The sequence below is a fragment of the Homo sapiens genome, chromosome 6 (genome assembly GCF_000001405.40).
Source record: "Homo sapiens chromosome 6, GRCh38.p14 Primary Assembly".
NCBI lineage: Eukaryota > Metazoa > Chordata > Mammalia > Primates > Hominidae > Homo > Homo sapiens.
In genome coordinates, this window is record NC_000006.12 from 116,668,838 (window position 1) to 116,688,344 (window position 19,507).

The window sequence follows — 19,507 nt, forward strand, 5'->3', positions numbered from 1 at the left end:
GTGCATTCTGGGAGATGTAGTCTTTTTTTTTTTTTTTTTTTTTTGAGACGGAGTCTCGCTCTGCTGCCCAGGCTGGAGGGCAGTGCGCGATCTCGGCTCACTGCAAGCTCCGCCTCCCGGGTTCACGCCATTCTCCTGCCTCAGCCTCCCGAGTAGCTGGGACTACAGGCGCCCGCCACCATGCCTGGCTAATTTTTTGTATTTTTAGTAGAGACGGGGTTTCACCGTGTTAGCCAGGATGGTCTCGATCTCCTGAGAGATGTAGTCATTTTTGCATTCCTCCCATTTCCGAGTTTTTCCTTCTCCCATCGAGTTTCCTGCCACTCAATTGCTAGGAGAGAAAACCGGGCTCTGAGGTCATTCATACTTAATCTGAATGAGTTCACAGGGCAGGTCCTGGGGCAAATAGCAGTCTACACTAGGGCCTGCTGAGTAGCACTCTATTTTAGTATCAATAAAGGGTTTATAATGCTGCTAGGTATCAAGCTCCCAGCTATGCACCGAAGGTAAAGGATACCAGGTTCTTTCCTCAAGGTTACAAGATAACAAATATCTTGGTTTGTATGTATGTATGTATGTATATATATATATTTTTTGAGACGGAGTCTTGCTCTGTCGCCCAGGCTGGAGTGCAGTGGTGCCATCTCTGCTCACTGCAAGCTCCGCCTCCCGGGTTCACGCCATTCTCCTGCCTCAGCCTCCCAAGTAGCTGGGACTACAGGCGCCCGCCACCACGTCTGACTAATTTTTTGTATTTTTAGTAGAGATGGGGTTTCACCGTGTTATCCCGGATGGTCTCGATCTCCTGACCTCGTGATCCGCCCCCCTCGGCCTCCCAAAGTGCTGGGATTACAAGCGTGAGCCACCGTGCCCGGCCGTATGTATGTATTTTTAGAGAGGAGGACTCTTTCTGTCACCCAGGCCAGAGCACAGTGGCTAAAATAGCTCACCGCAGCCTCGAACTCCTGGCCTCAAATGATCCTCCCATCTCGGCCTCCCAAAGTGTGAGCCACCATGTTAGCCCAAAATCACAAATATCTTGTCATTCAGGCTTTATTTCATTCAACAAATATTTAAAGAGTGTCTATTAGAAAGGCGTTTTGCTTGCAACAGGAGCTGCAGCAGTAATCAAAATACACAAAATTCAGGATTTTTGAGGCTTACATGCTGGTGAGGTAGAGGAAATAAAAAGTAAATTAACTGATCATGATAAGTGCTATGAAGAAAATAAAACTGGATTGGCCAGGCTCAGTGGCTCACATATGTAATCCCAGCACTTTGGGAGGCCGAGGCGGGCAGATCATTTGAGGTCAGGAGTTCAAGACCAGCCTGGCCAACATGGTGAAAGCCCGTCTCTACTAGAAATACAAAAATTAGCTGGGCGTGGTGGCAGGTGCCTGTAATCCCAGCTACTCGGGAGGCTGAGGCAGGAGAATTGCTTGAACCCGGGAGGCGTAGGTTGCAGCGAGCTGAGATCGTGCCACTACACTCCAGCCTGAGTGACAGAGCAATAGATTTTTGAGACTGAGTCTCAAAAAAAAAAAAAAAAAAAGAAAGAAAGAAAGAAAAGAAAACTGGATTATAGAGATACGAATGTTTAGAAAAGGTCTTGATGAAGGGTTGAGTGTGCTGATGAACAAACCTTACACCAACAGGGGAAATAGCATTTCAGACAGATAAAATAACAAGAACGAAGGCCTAAGGCTGGAGCAAAAAGAACACTTTTTGACCAGAGCATAATGTGGTAAGGAGAAAAATGATTACAAGATGAGGTTAGGGTTGTAGACAGGGGCCAAATCATGTAGGACCTGGTAGAAAACTAGTGAGGTATTTAAATAGGAGGGTGATGTTATCTGATGATAAATAGTATGTTTTTAAAAATTGGCTAGGCGCGGTGGCTCACGCCTGTAATCCCAACACTTTGGGAGGCAGAGGCGGGCAGATCGCATGAGCCCAGGAATTCCAGACCAGCCTGGGCAACATGGAGAAACCCGTCTCAACCAAAAAAATACAAAAATTAGCTGGGCGTGGTGATGTGGCCTGTAATTCTAGCTACTCGGGAGACTGAGGTGGGAGGATCACCTGAGCCCCAGGAGGTTGAGGCTGCAGTGAGCCATAATGGCACCATTGCACTCCAATCTGGGCGACAGAATGAGAACCTGTCTCAAAAAAAAAAATCGTTCTGGAAATTTGTGGACAAACATGGAAGATTAAACATGTAAATTTATATTTCTCTGCCTCTCAAAATCTATTAAAATGATAGCAGGAAAATAAAAATAATACTACTAACAGCTAATGAGATTTTACAAAACTTTGAAAGCTAAAAAAAGATGAATGATTAATAACGAACTTAACTCAGAACCGATGTCAACAAAAACCAAGTCAAGTCATACTGTCTTGACTTGTATGGGTTTCTGCTTGCCCAGCACAGCAGCTGGGGTCTGCTTGCCCAGCACAGCACAGCCAAACACTGACACTGGGATAGCAGCAAGAGAAAGTTGAGGCATTTATTGTAGGGCACCAAGGAAGGAGAATTGAGTAGCTCATGCTTAAGACCTGAACTCCCACATTGCTTACAGGTAAGAGTTTTTAAAGGTGAGGAGGCAGAGGTTACAGGCGACGTCATAAATCAATACACGGAAGCTATACGTTGGTTTGATTTTAAAAGGCTGGACATCTTGAAGTGGTTCGGGGCACAGGTTACAGGTGGATTCAAAGATTTTCTGACGTTTGATTTGCTAAGGAGGCAAAGCTTTGTCTAAAAATTTGGGATCAGCAGAAAAGAATATTAGCTCTCGCTCAGGGGTGTGATCTCCTCCAGGCCCCTCAGGAAGAAATTCAGAACAAAGAACAGCGATCAGGATTTAGTCTTCAGTTTCCCATTATCAGGGGTCAAATCATGTTGGACAGTAGATCTGTTTGGTGGGGGATCTGGGTTTCTGGAAAACAACCCAGGGACATATGTTAAAATGTTATCTTAAGTTTCTATAGGGAATAAAACATCTCCTGACTTTTTTGGGCCAATGTTTTAAGCTACTATTACCTTTTTGTTTATCAAATTGCTCATTTATTTCTCAGCGCTAGCTAGGTTCCTGGAATTTTCCTTGAAGGAACTCAATATTTTCCTTTATTTCCATGCTTGGGGGTTGCCCACGGGCCCCTAAGTAGGGTCCCTACTCCATCTTAATACACTCCTCCTTCCCAGAAATCTGAAAATTCCAGAAATTAAACACAAGATACTTCTAAAAATGATGGTGACATTTGGAACTAAATAAAGGATCATTTTACTGAAAGTCTGAATAAGGAACAGTTAGAACTCCAACTCTAGATTTTCTCCATCACCAGTGTGATGGTTAATTTCTCCTGAAACATTATTTCTTATTATTTCCCAGGAAGCTCCCGCCAAATGAGGGAAGAAGCAAAGAAAGTGGAAGGTATGGGGCCAGGCATGGTGGCTCACACCTGTAATCCTACACTTTGGGAAGCCGAGGCAGACAGATTGCTTGAGCTCAGGAGTTTGAGACCAGCCTGGGCAATATGGTGAAACCCCGTCACTACCAACTTGACTGAATTGAGGGATGCCTAGATGGCTGGTGAAGCATTGTTTCTAGCTGTATCTGTGAGGGTGTTTCCAGAGGAGATTGACCTGTGAGTCAGTGGACTGAGAGAGGAAGACCTACCCTCAGTGTGGCAAGCACCATACAGTCAGCTGAGGGCTAGGCTGGGGCAAACAGGAAAGAGAGGGAATTCTCTCTCTTTGCTCTCTCCCTTCTGGAACAAGACACCTTTTTCCTTCCTGCTTTTGGACATCAGATTGCACCATATTCATCTTTTAGACACTGGGATTCGCACGAGTGGCTTCCCAGGAACTCTTGGGCTTTTAGCCTCAGAGTGGGGGCCAAACCCTCTGCTTCCCTGGTTCTGAGGCTGCTGGGACTGAGCCACATTACCAGTTTCTCTGGTGCTCTAGCTTGCAAGATGGCCTATTGTGGGACTTCCACCTCTGTGATCATGTGTCAATTCCCTAATAAATTGCCTCTCGTATATAGTATTGGTTATGTCTCTCTGAAGAACTCTAATACAGCTAGGTTGCCATGAGACTCCTCTTTCCCTTCCAGATAGAAGACTACAGATTTAGTTCATGAAGAAAACGAACCAAAAAAACCAGCTATGAACCCTATCCTGGGGGTTCAAAGGCTTGACCCTATCCTTAGGGTAAAGGCACTGGACTGAAAATGGGAAATAGGGAAGGCTAAATACTAAATTATGAACCTCTTGCTCCTTTTCCCCCATCACATCTTGATATGTGATTTCTGCCTCCAAGGCAGGAGGTTGGAAAATTCCTCCCCAGAGAAATCAATTGTCCCAAGAGAAAGACCTAACAGATGTCAACTTTTAGGAAGTTATCCAATGATACAGCCAGGTCCCTATTTTACCACTCTGTGGGAAGGCTGCCAATTGGTGAATAAACAAGCCCCACTGACGCACAGTGTATAGAAGGTTTCTTTAATGTCTTATTCTTAAATATGAATAGATACTCAAGGGTTCCAGGCATTTGAGTACAGCCTATGGCAAGTAAGATGGAGAGCTAAACAATAATCATAGTTTAAAAAGTAAGCTCTGAAGAAAAAAAGAAAGAGAAAAAAATTTCAATGGAAACCACAATTAATATCCTCAGATAGATAAGAAAATGTATTGAATCTCTAAATCCAAAATAGGAAATAGCTGTTGGGATTAAAAATATTTCATACTTTAAAATACACATATTAATAGAGGCCTGGAAGATAAAGCCCAAGAAATTTCTCAGAAAACAGAACAAAAAGAACAAGGGATAGAAAAACAGGAAAGGAAAATAATCAAATGAGAAATTGGATTCTACATCCAACTAATAAGAGATACAGAGAGGAATAACAACAAAAACAATGGAAAATTAGTTATCAATGAAATGACATGATAATTCATGACTTAATAATAATTTCTCCTGAAACATTATTTCTTATTATTTCCCAGGAAGCTCCCACCAAAATGAGGGAAGAAGCAAAGAAAGTGGAAGGTATGGGGCCGGGCATGGTGGCTCACACCTGTAATCCTAGCACTTTGGGAGGCCGAGGCAGGCGGATTGCTTGAGCTTAGGAGTTTGAGACCAGCCTGGGCAATATGGTGAAACCCCGTCACTACCAAAAATACAAAAAATTATCCGGACGTGGTGACGTGTGCCTGTGGTCCTAGTTACTGAGGAGGCTGAGGTTGGAGGATCATTTGAGCCCAGAAGGCAGAGGTTGCAGTGATCCGAGATCACACCACTGCACTCTAGCCTGGGTGACAGATTGAGACCCCATCTCAAAAAAAAAAAAAAAAAAAAAAGAAAAGAAAAGAAAAGAAAAGAAAAAAAGAAAGTAGAACGTATGGAATTCCATAAAAAACTCTACCAAGATGAGAGAGAACAGACAGGAATGAAGGCAGAAAGGAAGAAAAAGAAAGGGAGGGAGGGAGGAAAGAGGCAACTGACAGATCACTTCATGTTTATGACCATACTGAGAGAAATATATTCTGTTAAGCAGAATAGTGTCCCTCAAAGATGTTTATGTCCTGGCCAGGCATGGTGGCTCACACGTGTAATCCCAGCACTTTGAAAGGCCAAGGTGGGAGGATTGTTTAAGGCTAGGAGTTGGTGACTAGCCTGGCCAACATAGTGAGACCCGCCCCCCCCGTCTCTAATATTAAATTTTTTTAAAAGATTCTATTTCCTTATTAACAGAACCTGTGAATATCTTACTTTTCATGGCAAAAGGAATTTGTAGATGTGATTAAGGATCTTGACAAGAGGGGTTTATCTAGGTAGGCACAATGTAATCACAAGGGTCCTCATGAGAGGGAGACAGATAGGAAGGTCAGTCTTAGAAAAGGAGATGCGATAACAGAAACAGAGGTCAGAGAGATGTAATTGCTGAAAGGGGTCCAGAAGCCAAGGAATGTAGGTAGCTTCAAGGAACTGGAAAAGGCAAGGAAATGGATTCTCCCCTATAGGCTCCAGAAGAAACACAACTTTGCTGACACCTTGATTTTAGCCCAGTGAGACCCATTTTGGACTTCTGACCTCTAAAAGTGTAAGATAATACATTTATGTTATTTTAAGTCAGCAAGTTTGTGGTAATTGGTTAGAGCAGCAACAGGAAACTAATACAGATCTCCAGCAGTGTGTTTGAAGATGAGTTAGTGATGAGTAGTTAGAAAATTAAGCAAATGATAATGACAGAAAACAGGCAATTAATTTTAGAACAATAAAAAACTATACAAGGAATGTAATTTTTACATAAAAATTTAAATATTGATTTAACCAAAATAATTTTGATAGAACTATATTGGAGGATGTGCGATCAGGAAGTATGTGTAAATGTGTATGTTGGGAGGTTAGTGCAGTTATGAGTAATAAATTCTCATTTTACATCTATAACAATAGAAAATGTCTATGACTTTACAAATTAAGAAATAGCAGTGTATGATTTTAAAATATTTAATTAGAAAAGAGATACCAATAAGAATACCTAAACAAGTTGAAAATAGTAGCTTCTGGGGAGCGGCATCTGGGGATGGTCAGGTGGGAAGTGTTAATTTTCACGATAAACTTATTATTGGACCCTTTAAATGATATATTTGTATTATTTGATTACAATAAATAAAAATTTAATTGTAAATTACTACACCTTCTGGACAGGGAATAGATTATAAAGGAGTCAAGGTAGATACAGATTGCTTAATTAGGATACTACTGCAGTTTATGAAATAAATGATGGAATGCTAGAAGAAGTGTCAGTAGAGATGGACTAGGTGTAGATGTGGACTATTTTGGAGCTAGAAGCGAAAGACAGGAGGCACTGGTAAGGGCAAGGTAAAGAATGATTCATAAGTTTTTTAACTGGAGTTTCTGGCTGCGTAGTTGTATCATTACAGAGATAAAGAGGCCTGAGAAAGAAATAAAGTGGAATGGGATAGAATAAAAAAATCTGTTTTGGCTTATTAAATTTGAGATGCCCATCAGACATCCAAATGGAGGTTTGATATATGAGTTTAGACCTCCAGGAAGAGGTCAGGGATGGAAATTTGAATTTGGGAGAAAGTGGTTTATAGGTAGATGGCTTTTAAAAATACAGGAGTATGTTGTATCACCTAGAGAGGCAATGCAGCAAAGTAAGAGGCCTGGCGCCAACATTTATAGGTTGCTTAAAGGAGGAAGACTAAATAAGGAGGATGAGAAAGAAGAGGCATGAAGCTGAAAGAAGGCCATTCATTTCTTTATCTTTGGAAAACTGAAAAAGTATGTGTGGTAGAACCTTTGGTACACTGCCCAAGTTCTGGTTCAGGACTAAAGGATTTTCTTCCCCCAATGATGAGGGCTCTAGGCCAAGTTCCACTTCAGAAACTGCACTCTGGTCAAAGGGAGCTGCTGCCTCACCCAAGATTAACCCTCCTCTCTGGATTTGATTCAGTGATATCCAAAGACTTCTTGATTCAGTGATAGAAACATGAGCCTCTAGCCTCAACAGTGACAATTCTGAAGGGCCATCCCAGCTTCTGCACTTCCTATAAGATTGTCTGAAGTCTCTGTTGCTAATAATGCAACATAATTTATCTCTCTGTAGAATCCTGCTTCCTCACTCCTGTTATTATTCCCAAAGAGCACTCTGCAATAAATATCAGGTGGCAAATCTTGAATCTCAGTCTGTTTCCCTGTGTTCCGTGAAAGGGCTGTATATGCAAAGCAACTGCCAAATGTTGAAGGAGCCAAGAACCCAAAAAGGCAGAAAAATCAAGTTAATTGGTCTTGGGTGATTTATTAGGGGAACTTACAGACAGAAGCGTGGTCTTGGGTGGCCGCAAGACAGGTAGATCTCCATACCACTAAACCCAGGGCTAACTCTCTAAACCCAGGGCTTATATCTTAGGGAAAATATACGTACTCTGGAAGGAATGTTTAGGTGGCTACAGGTGTCACAGCCTGTGATTTCTGTAGCAGCATCAAGGATTGTTTTGGAGGAAACTTACGGTGAATAGGTGTTCCTACTTAAAGAGTAATACATCAACTAGACATTTTGGGAGCATTCCTGGACTTGGGGTTAGTCAGAAATGCTAATGGCAGATTAGCATTTCAAATAAAGTCACTCTGTCCCCACATCCTGGATCAGACCTATCGATAGCAGCAAGGATACATGCTGTTGTGTGGAATGACTTGTGCTACAGAAGTGAGGGAAATTTAACAATAATTTACAACTTCAACAATTAGGATGGTCATGTGTCCCAGTTTGCCCAGGACAGTCATCCCAAAAAAGTTACTATTAGTACCCCATTCCACTATCAAAAATGTCCTGGTTAACACAAATTATATGATCCTGCTACTGATAACTTTGAGTCTTAATCTAGTTCTCATTAAGATAAACTACTTAGGTACGAATCACAGCTACTTCTTACTAGCCCTGTGACAGTGGAAAGTTTACTTACACATTCATCTGTGCCTCAGTGTCCCCTATCTCATGTTGTCATTGTAAAGTTAAGTATATCAAATTTTAATTTTGCAGTGATCAACAGGATCTCAGAAGAAGTATGTTCTTACTTTGATAACTTACCTGCTTCCTTATTCCATTTGGGCTGCCATAACAAAAATACCAAAAATGGGTTGACTTATAAACAGTAAACATTTACAGACAGTCCCCGACTTATGATGGTTTGACCTATGACATTCCAACTTTACAATGGTGCAAAAGTGATACACATTAATAATAAACCATACTTCAAATTTTGAATTTTGATTCAAAAATTCTTTATAACTTTATTCTGACATAGGCTTTGTGTTACATGACTTTGCCCAATTGTAGCCTAAGTGTTATGACTATGTTTACAGTAGTCTAGGATAAGCTATAAGGCTCAATAGGTTAGGTGTATTAAATGCATTTTTGACTTACAATATTTTTCAACTTACTGATGGGTTTGTTGGGAAATAACCCCATTGTAAGTTGAGGATCATCTGTATTCCTCACAGTTTTGGAGGCCAGAAGTCCAAGATCAAGGCTCAGACAAATTTAGTGTCTGATGATAGCCGGCTTCCTCATAGACAGTACCTCTACACTCACATAGTGGATAGGCAAGGCATTTCCTTTGACCTTGTTTTACAAGAGCACTAATCCCATCATTAGAACTCCATCCCCATGATGTAATCACCTCTCAAAGGCCCCACTTCTTAGTACCATCACTTTGAGGGTTAGGTTTCAACACATGAATTTGAGAGGGACAAACATATTCAGACCATAGCATCTGCTTAAGTAAAAAGAAATTGGTGAGCCAATGGGTTAGAACCCTTTCTTTTCCATCATGGCTTGTGGAGGAGGTAAGCTAATAGGGCAATACGCTCTCTACTGTTGAGGCAGCAGCTTTTGGGATAAAAGGACCACTGAGAAGTGGATTTTATTTTGACAGGCAGATTGGGAAAGATGCCATAGAAGGTCAGGTCTTGGTAGGAAGTTGCTGTGGTTGGCATTGCATACAACTAATGAAGTCAGCATCTTGATACCAATCCTATTCCTCCAGTTCTTTCCTGGATATGAAAAGCCGGGACCTAGACCCTGCTGAGCAGAGGTCTAAAAGACACCATTATCATCTCTTCTGCCATATCTATCCAGAGGGAAGGCATGTCCAGATAGCAGGAATCTTCTTCAGGAGTATAGAAACAAGTGCAGACCATCTAAATGAGAACAAGCAAAGCCAAATTTATTTGGAGCTTACAATAGCAAGGGAGTCAGCCATCATCACTTGCATTTGTCAGAGACTCAACGGCAGGCAGAGGAGTGAGAAAGCTTTAGAGTGGAAAAAAGGGAAAGCTTCAGGTATGCCAATTCAAGGCTGTTGGCATGGAGAAGCTGCAGGTGGGCTAACTAAAAGCAGGGCATCCTATGTAATTATTTAGGGGTGGGTAGATATTTGGCTCTCTCTAGCTGGCCTTGAGTTGGAAGCCCTGACAAAACTTACAGAAGCTGTAAGTTATTAATCACGTCCTGGCCATTTGGGGTAGATTGCTACAAGGGTTATTGCTTGGCTTCCTGGACTGGTTGCTAAATATAGTAATCTGATTTCTTGGACTGGTTACTGGACATAGTAGGTTGCCTTCCTGGACTGGTTGTTGAAGGTTGTAGGTTAGTGTTCTATTTGTATATATTCTCTGGCCATTGTCTATTTGAATTCAGTCTCCCAGGACGGAGGAGTAGGGAGGAAATAAGAAAGGGATAGGGTGGCCAGGTGATTAAGGCAAATAAACTCCTATCAGTACTCCAATAGTCCTGTTGTCAGAGGCGTTTGAACCAGAGTGACTCCAACTTGAACAGGTGCTGGGTAAAACGAGGCTGAGACCTACTGAGCTGCATTCCCAGGAGGTTAGGCATTCTTAGTCACAGAAGATTGGAGGTCCACGCAAGATACAGGTCACAAAGACCCTGCTGATAAACAGGATGTCGTAAAGAAGACAGGCCAAACCCACCAAAACCAAGATGAAGACAAAAGTGACCTCTGGTCATCCTCACTTCTCATTATACGTGAATTATAATGCATTAGCATGCTAAAAGACACTCCCACCAGCACCATGACAGTTTACAAATGCCATGGCAACATCCAGAAGTCATACAGTCTAAAAGAGGGTAGAACCCTAAGTTCCAAAAATTGCCTGCCCCCTTCCTTGAAAACTCATGAATAATCCACCCCTTGTTTAACATATAATTAAGAAATAACTGGCTGGGCGCGGTGGCTCACGCCTGTAATCCCAGCACTTTGGGAGGCCGAGCCAGGAGGATCACCAGGTCAGTAGATTGAGACCATCCTGGCTAACACGGTGAAACCCTGTCTCTACTAAAAATACAATAAATTTCCAGCTACTCGGGAGGCTGAGGCAGGAGAATGGCGTGAACCCGGGAGGCGGAGCTTGCAGTGAGCCGAGATGGCGCCACTGCACTCCAGCCTGGGCGACAGAGCAAGACTCCGTGTCAAAACAAACAAACAACACACAAAAAAACTATATACTCAGTCCAGCAGCCCAAGCCACTGCTCTGCCTATGGAGTAGCCATTCTTTTGTTTCTTTACTTCTTTAATAAACTTGCTTTCACTTCACTATATGGACTCATGATTGGCAACGCTTTCTGGTAACACTGCCCAGGTTTCCTTTGTCAAGCGTGCCTTTCTCAGCCCTACATACCCACAGTTAAATAATCCCTTCTCTCCTGTTTATTTTTCAACTATTGAAAATAGCAAACATCTTAAAACAATTTGTCTTCATGTTTTTCCTCTTAAAAAATTGCAAACGTCTTCTGGGCAGGATTTATGTATTGTTTATCTTATTTATTCTCTTCCTATTGCATCTGGAACACAGTCTGTTTTCAATACCGTTTGTTGAACTCCAGGGTAGATTACAGGGCTGTGTATTATAATCTACAGTACTTTAACTGAAGTTACTCGTTTATTGGTGACTACATTGCTGTCAAAAATACACTCATGTGGCTGGGTGTGGTGGCTCATGCCTGTAATCCCAACACTTTGGGAGGCTGAGGCGGGCGGATCAGGAGGTCAAGAGATCAAGACCATCCTGGCCAACACGGTGAAACCTGGTCTCTACTAAAAATACAAAAATTAGCTGGGCGTGGTGGCGCATGCCTGTAGTCCCAGCTACTTGGGAGGCTGAGGCAGGAGAATCGCTTGAACCTGGGAGGCGGAGGTTGCAGTGAGCCGAGATCGCATCACTGCACTCCAGCCTGGTGACAGCGCCAGACTCCGTCTCAAAAAAAACCCCCCAAAAACAGAAAAACAAAAACAAAAAACCGCAGATGTTATAGAATATAAAATTATAAATGACAAAAAGCTTGAAATAAAACGAGCAGAGCATATAAAAGTTAATGAAGCTGAAGAAAACGTGAGCTTCTCCGTACACTTAACAAGGCTGCGATTTTTACCAACTTTTTTGCACTGTTGTAGCCCCAATAATGTATCTAAAATGGTACTTGACACAGTTTATATCCTTAAGAATGTATGCATGCACGCACGCGTGAAGAATGAATGAATGAGGGGTCGTCCCTTTGCACACACGGAGGTCTACGGGCCGCAGAGTACCTACAGCATGGCCACCGCAAGCGCAACTAAAATCCAGGGCTTGTCGCAGGCACAGGCTCCTCCTTCGGTGGGTGGGACGGCGGCGCGCACTTTCTCTACGCCCCACTGCTAGGATGTGCGGCCACCACTCCTCCTCCGCCGCCGCCGCCGCCGCCGCCGCCGCCGCCGCGTCGAGTGCAAGGGCTTCTGGGAGCCGAGCCTCGGGGTCTCGGAGAAGGGGCGCAGGTGGCCGCCATCTTGGATTGCGAACTGGGTCGCTACGCTTCACGCCAGGGGCGGAGTGGCGGCCCTTCTGTTACCCGCCACACACGTCGCCGCTGGGGACTGGGAAATCAGGGCATCGGAGAGTGCCACATTAATGGGTAAGTTGGAGTGAACACGGGCTAGGTTGGGGGAGCCTCGGTTTTGGTCCCTTTGGGAACTACTAGTTCCTGGGGCCACGGTTTTTATTTACCCCTTACTTTGCGAAGGTCTCTGGAACCTGGCGGTGCCGGGTGTTTCTCGTGTTTTCCCCAGGGCGACAGCGGTCGCGGGGGCGTGGCAGCCGGACCTTTCCCTTGCGGACGCGAAGGCGTGGTGAGTTCAGATTCTTTCAGCAGGTCCTCTGGAGTGATGGGCAGCTGGTCTCATCTTCGCCGCCCCGCCTCACCGTTTCTCGGTAGTTCTTTTCAGTTAATGGAATTGCCAAACGTTGCCACTCATACCTGGTACCCATCAGCTGTGTCCAGCAGCTTATGGAAATTCCACAGTGTCCAAAGAAGAGACAGGTTCCATCCCGAGGGCCTCCTAGCCTCGCCCTCTCCATCCGCCAGCCTCCCTCCTCCACCTGCGTGCAGGTGCCTCTAGTGCTCATTCCCGACGACAAGGCAAGCCTGGGTTCCACGCTTCTAATAGTCGGGCAGCTCCGTTCTAAGATGAAAACTTAGGTTTTCATCGATAATACATAGGAGATGGAAGTATTTGAAAGCTGTGAAATGACAGTGATATGTCTAAAGAATATGACATTGGCGGCGGGCGCGGTGGCTCACGCCTGTAATCCCAGCACTTTGGGAGGCGGAGGCGGGCGGATCACGAGGTCAGGAGATCGAGACCATCCTGGCTAACACGGTGAAACCTCGTCTCTACCAAAAATACAAAAAATACAAAATAAAATACAAAATAATAAATACAAAAAAAATACCAAAAATACAAAAAAAGGAAAAATTAGCCTGGCATGGTGGTGGGCGCCTGTAGTCCCAGCGACTCGGGAGGCTGAAGCAGGAGAACGGTGTGAACCCGGGCGGCGGAGCTTGCAGTGAGCCGAGAGCGCCATTGCACTCCAGCCCGGGCGACAGAGCGAGACTCTGTCTCAAAAAACAAACAAAAGAATATGACACTGGCATTTACTTTTGAGCTTTTTAGACATGTTTTTTAAAAAAGACAAAAACACTAATGATTTATCTCTCAATTACAACACCCAATAATGATGACTCATATTCTGTACAAAAGTGGTTTTCTTGGTAGGTCAGGAGCAACTCTCTCCCTCCGACCTAAGTACTGCTTGTTTGGTTGTGAGGGCTCTCTAGTTGGCACTTCCCCCGCTTTGTGCAGTCTTTTACTTTCACTAATGAGGCGCCCAGCCCCATGGAAATGAAGGCTTTACTGGCATAAGAAATAATGTCGATTGATATTAAAGAAAATCATAAGTTCAGATTCCAGTTATTTGCCCAACTTAAACATGGTTTTTCTAAGAGCCGTTGAAAGCTTATGAATGAAAAAAATTCCTCTATTCTGTAACTTTAAAGTGCTGGAATAACATTTCTAAATAAAAATATTTAATTTTTATGAGACCTCAGCCTTTGAAGTGCAGCCTTTAAATTTATTTTTCAGTGAACGAAACAATCCCATTGGATGGGGCCCCTTTAGAGATAATTTCCCTTGGTTTATTGTCCCCTTTAAAGCAACTGCAGTGAGGATGGATGCAGTGTTAAATCTGAAGCCGGAAGTCAGTACTATTGAAGAAAAAGGAACAAGTGATATCTGAGTTGTTGGTGCTGTATTTTATTTGGCTAAAATTTATGCTGAACAGTTACAATGTGGTTGCTTGGATTAATGGTCTCATAAGTAGCGCCTTTGTATGTGTGCGTGGTGGGGCACAAGGTGATCCAGTCAGATGTGGTAAGAAAATATTAGAACTTCTATTTGTTTACCTTTTAAAACTTTCATTCTTAAAAATTTCTGTTTTTTGTGAATTTTATGCTAGAGTAGTATATTAGAATAGTAATGCATGTATAGAAATAAATATATTGAGGATGAATGCACAAATGTATTTTACGAATGTAGGATGTGTGATTGAAAACGTTTAGAGCCAGTGGCCTAGAATATGCTACATATATAGGTGATAAATACTTTAAGAGTTTTATTTCCATGAGCATTTTATTTTACTTAAATATTTTATATATATTGAGCGTAATTCAACAACTAATACTGTGGTCAGTTTGCACTGTAATGAACTCTGATCTCTAATTTTTTCCTTTCAAGAGTCTAGCTTTTTATAGATATAAAATAGAGAATAATACCAAACATTGTTATTAGTAAAGTTATGTTGAGCGGTTTCCCTCTTTTATTTATTATTTTTTTTTGAGATGGAGTCTCACTCTGTGGCCCAGGCTGGAGTGCAGTGGCATGATCTTGGCTCACTGCAAGTTCCGCCTCCCGGGGTTCATGCCAGGAGTCTCCCTCCCGGGGTCTCCTGCCTCAGCCTCCTGAGTAGCTGGGACTACAGGTGCCCACCACCACGCCCGGCTAATTTTTTGTATTTTTAATAGAGATGGGGTTTCACTGTGTTAGCCAAAATGGTCTCGATCTCCTGACCTTGTGATCCACCTGCCTCGGCCTCCCAAAGTGCTGGGATTACAGGCGTGAGCCACCGTGCCCGGCCTTTTTTTTTTTTTTTTTTTTTTTTTTTTTTTTTTGACAGAGTCTTGCTCTGTCTCCCAGGCTGGAGTCCAGGCTGGAGCGATCTTGGCTCACTGCAACCTCTGCCTCCCGAGTTCAAGCAATTCTCCTGCCTCAGCCTCCAGAGTAGCTGGGATTACAGGCTTCTACCAGCATGCCCAGCTGATTTTTGTATTTTCAGTAGAGACAGGGTTTCACTATATTGGCCAGGCCGGTCTTGAACTCCTGACCTCAAGCGATCGACTCTCCTTGGCCTTCTAAAGTGCTAGGTTTACAGGTGTGAGCTACCCCGCCCGGCCATATTGAGCAGTTTCTAATGATATCTATTTGTAGGTGCACATAGTATTGCTGAATCTATTAAATATTTTAAAGGAGGAATTTTGGTAAATTAATCATGCATTTCTTTTCAATCATTCTCAAGTCCTCAGCCCCTTCCCTTCTACCTTGAGCTCCACCAGTAGTGAGATTTGTCTCACTATCTTTACCAGTGACATAATTACCAAATCTGATGCCTGATATGGTACTTGGATTATTACAGGCACTTTTATTTTCTGGATGAATCAATGAATGAATAAACCGAGTGGCCTGTTTTCAGTGGTACTACAACTTAAATATTCCTTTATCTTTTGAACTCCTTTCCTTTGCAGGACTCTTAATTTCTTCCTTATTCTTCTACTTCTCTGACCTACTTCTTTTTGGTTTCTTTTGCTCTTGCCTTTTTCTGCTAAAATATGATGGTCCCCAAGATTTCTCCTTTGGTCATCCTTCTTCTGTAGCTCTACATGATAGCAAATGATCACTCCAGATCCCTGTCCTGAGTTCTGATCCGTATTTTCAACCATCTACAGATCAAAGCCTCCTACATGTGCACCAAGTACTACACATTTACCATGTTTAAAACCAGAGTCACTATACACTTATTAGAATGGCTATGACTAGCAACAGCAACGACAAAACCCCTTAAATCATCAAATGGAGACAGGATGCAAAGCAACTGGAACTCTCATACATTACTGATGGGAATGCAAGATGGAATACTCACTTTGGAAAGAAGTTTGGCAGTTTCTTATAAAGTGAAACATAAACTTGCCGTATTATCCGTCAGTTCTACTCCTAGATATTTACTGAGTGAAATGAAAACTTATGTTTACACAAACACCTTTACATAAATGTCTGTAGCACATTTATTCATAACCTCCAAAAACTAGAAACCACCCAGATGTTCTTTAACTGGAAAACTGATAAACCGTGATCTGTCCCTACAGTGGAATAACAGCAATAAGAAAGGAGAGTTGATAGATGCCAACAATGTGGACGACTCAAATACCGTGCTAAATGAAAGAAGCCGGATTTATTTTGTTGGTTTTGTTGTTGTTGTTTATTTTACCTTTAGGCTCAGGGGCACATGTGCAAGCTTGTTGTATAGGTAAACTCGTGTCATGGGTGTTGTACAGATTATTTTGTCACCCAGGTACTAAGCCTAGTACCCAATAGTTATTTTTTCTGCATCTCTCCCTCCTCCTACCCTCCACCCTCCGGTAGGCCCCCAGTGTCTGTTGTTCCCTTCTTTGTGTCCATGTGTTCTCCTCATTTAGCTCCCACTTATAAGTAAGAACATGTGGTATTTGTTTTTCTTTTCCTGCATTAGTTTGCTAAGGATAATGTCCTCTAGCTCCATTCATGTTCCCACAGAAGACATGATCACATTCTTTTTTGTGGCTGCATAGTATTTCATGGTGTTTATGTACCACATTTTCTTTATCCAGTCTGTTACTGATGGGCATTTAGGTTGATTCCATGTCTTTCCTATTGTAAAAACTGCTGCACTGAACATTTGTGTGCACATGTTTTTATGGTAGAATGATTTATATCCCTCTGGATATACACCCAGTAATGGAATTGCTGGGCCAAATGGTAGTTCTATTTTTAGCTCTTTGAGGAATTGCCACACTGCTTTCCACAGTGATTGAACTAATTTACATTTGTTTTTTGACTTTTTTTCTTTTCCTTTTTGAGACATGGTCTCACTGTTGCCCGGGCTGGAGTGCAGTGGTGTGGTCATGGCCAATGTAGCCTTGACCTTTGGGCTTAAGTGATTCTTCCACCTCAGCCTTCTGAGTAGCTGAGACTATAGTCACGTGCCACCATGCCTGGGTAATGTTTTGATATTTTGTTGAGACAGGGTCTCATTGTGTGGCCCAGGCTGGTCTTGAACTCCTGAGCTCAAGCAATCCTCCTGGCTCTGCCTCCCGCCTCTGCCTCCCGAAGTGCTGGGATTACAGGTGTGAGCCACCATACCTGGCTCATTTTGACCTTTTAATAATAGCCATTCTGACTGGTGTGAGATGGTATTTTATTCTGGTTTTGATTTGCATTTCTCTAATGATCAGTGATGTTAACCTTTTTTTCATATGCTTCTTGGCTGCATGTATGTCCTTTGAAAAGTGTCTGTTCATGTCCTTTGCTCACTTTTTAATGGGGTTGTTTGTATTTTTCTTGTAAATTTGTTTAAGTTTCTTATAGATGCTGGATATTAGACCTTTATCAGATGCATAGTTTGCAACAATTTTCTCCCATTCTGTAGGTTGTCTTTTACTCTGTTGACAGATTCTTTTGCTGTGCAGGAGCTCTTAAGTTTAATTAGATCCCATTTGTCAATTTTTGCTTTTGTTGCAATAGCCCCTTCGTGATGAAATCTCTGACTATTCCTGTGGCCAGAATGATATTGCCTAGGTTGTCTTCCAGAGTTTTTATAGTTTTGGGTTTTACATTTAAGTCTTTAATCCATCTCGAGTTATTTTGTATATGGAAGGGGTCCAGTTTCAATCTTCTGCATGTAGCTAGCCTGTTATCCCAGCACCATTTATTGAATAGGGAGTCCTTTCCCAATTGCTTCCTTTTGTCAGTTTTGTCAAAGATCAGATGGTTGTAGGTGTGTGGCCTTATTTATGGGCTATTTTGTTTCATTGGTCTATGTGTCTGTTTTTGTACCAGTACCCTGCTGTTTTGGTTACTGTAGCCCTGTAGTACAGATTGAAGTCAGGTAATATGATGCCTCCAACTTTGTTCTTTTTGCTTAGGTTTGCCTTGGCTATTCAGTCTCTTTTTTGGTTCCATATGAATTTGAAAATAGTTTTTTCTAGTTCTGTGAAGAATGTCATTGGCAATTTGATAGGAATAGTGTTGAATCTGTAAATTGCTTTGGCCAGTATGTCCATTTTCACGATATTGATTCTTCCTATCCACAAGCATGGAATGTTTTTCCATTCGTTTGTGTCATCTCTGATTTCTTTTAGCAGCGTTTTGTAATTCTCACTCTAGAGGTCTTTCACCTCCTTGGCTGGCTATATTTTGAGGTATTTTATACTTTTTCTGGGAAGTCAGATTTAAAAGACTACATGCTGTATGAATCCACTTTTCTGAAATTCAGGAAAAGGCAGAACTATAGGGATGGAGAATTAACTTTTTACCAGATGTTAAGGGTCAGGGAGGGCTAATAGGAGCAGCTTGAGGGAGTTTTAGGGGGTGACAACTGTTCTGTGTCTTGATTGTGATAGTTACATGCATGTATATTTGTTAAATTCATAGAAATGTATACGAAAAGAGTGATTTTTACTAAATATAAATTTAAAAATAAACCTAAAATAACGGAATTCATTATTCTTGTCTCAGAAACAAGCCGATATGTAAACACAACAACCACTACTCTGATCCTCCATCCGTATTCTCTGTCTTATGTTATCTTGCCATACTACTCAGATGGCTCAGTTAAAAACCATGGAGTCATCCTCAACTCCCTTTTCTTCCTCACCAGATATCTGTTACATTCATTTGGCCTCTAATTTTTACTGAATCAATTTCAGAAATATTTCTAGAATCCAACTTGTCTTCTATGTTTTCATTGTAGTAACTTGTTTAGTTCACGCCTTCAGCATCTTTCCTATCTCTCTCTCTGAACTATGTAAAAACAACCTTTTCCTTAATTTGTTTAATTCTATTCCTTAGGATCAAGTCCAAATTTCACAGCTGCATTATAGGAACCATATGTCCTCTAACCTACCTTTATAGCTTTATGTTCTGCCATGCATCCTCATTTTGGACACACTTAGTCTCTTACTGTTCTTGGTTATGCAAGGCTTCTTCAAAAACTTTGCCTTTGCATATATTCCTTCTGCTTGAAATGCTTGATTCTCCCCATTTCTCTTTCCTGTTTTTCCTTTAAAATAGGATACCCATGAAGCTTTCAGAAGTCCCTAAGGCACAATTAGTTGCCATATCTTCACTGCTCTCTCAAGATTTAAAGCATGTATTTTAGTGTACTCCTTACAATAAAATTTGCCAATTCATTAGTCTGTCTCTTCAATATCAGGGATGGCAGACAGATGCCAGCCTCTCCTTCTCTTGTGTTTACTTCATAAGCTAATTGGTCAC

The 19,507-nt window shown here is 42.1% G+C and overlaps 1 protein-coding gene across 8 annotated transcripts in view, besides 2 other annotated features; it reads left to right on the forward strand.

Annotated features, from left to right (window-relative positions):
* Nucleotides 11,971–12,954: an enhancer, noted in NCBI's record as "NANOG-H3K27ac-H3K4me1 hESC enhancer chr6:117001971-117002954 (GRCh37/hg19 assembly coordinates)". NCBI's record gives its function as "activates a minimal SCP1, AML or CMV promoter by ChIP-STARR-seq in naive H9 embryonic stem cells {active_cell/tissue: H9 hESC(naive)}" and the evidence as "EXISTENCE:reporter gene assay evidence [ECO:0000049][PMID:30033119]".
* The window catches only part of KPNA5 (karyopherin subunit alpha 5), a 60,657-nt gene continuing 53,523 nt past the window's right edge, over nucleotides 12,374–19,507 (forward strand). For 4 of the 8 annotated variants that reach the window (NM_001366306.2, NM_002269.3, NM_001366308.1 and 1 more), the window contains exon 1: nucleotides 12,374–12,501. In NM_001366306.2, the coding sequence (NP_001353235.1) occupies nucleotides 12,498–12,501 (4 nt within the window). In that variant the 5' untranslated portion in view covers nucleotides 12,374–12,497. Of the gene's footprint in view, nucleotides 12,502–12,609; nucleotides 12,716–19,507 lie in introns of all 8 variants that reach the window. The other 4 variants (NM_001366305.2, NM_001366304.1, NM_001366309.2 and 1 more) reach the window with 2 other exon arrangements.
* Nucleotides 12,955–13,936: an enhancer, noted in NCBI's record as "NANOG-H3K27ac-H3K4me1 hESC enhancer chr6:117002955-117003936 (GRCh37/hg19 assembly coordinates)". NCBI's record gives its function as "activates a minimal SCP1, AML or CMV promoter by ChIP-STARR-seq in naive H9 embryonic stem cells {active_cell/tissue: H9 hESC(naive)}" and the evidence as "EXISTENCE:reporter gene assay evidence [ECO:0000049][PMID:30033119]".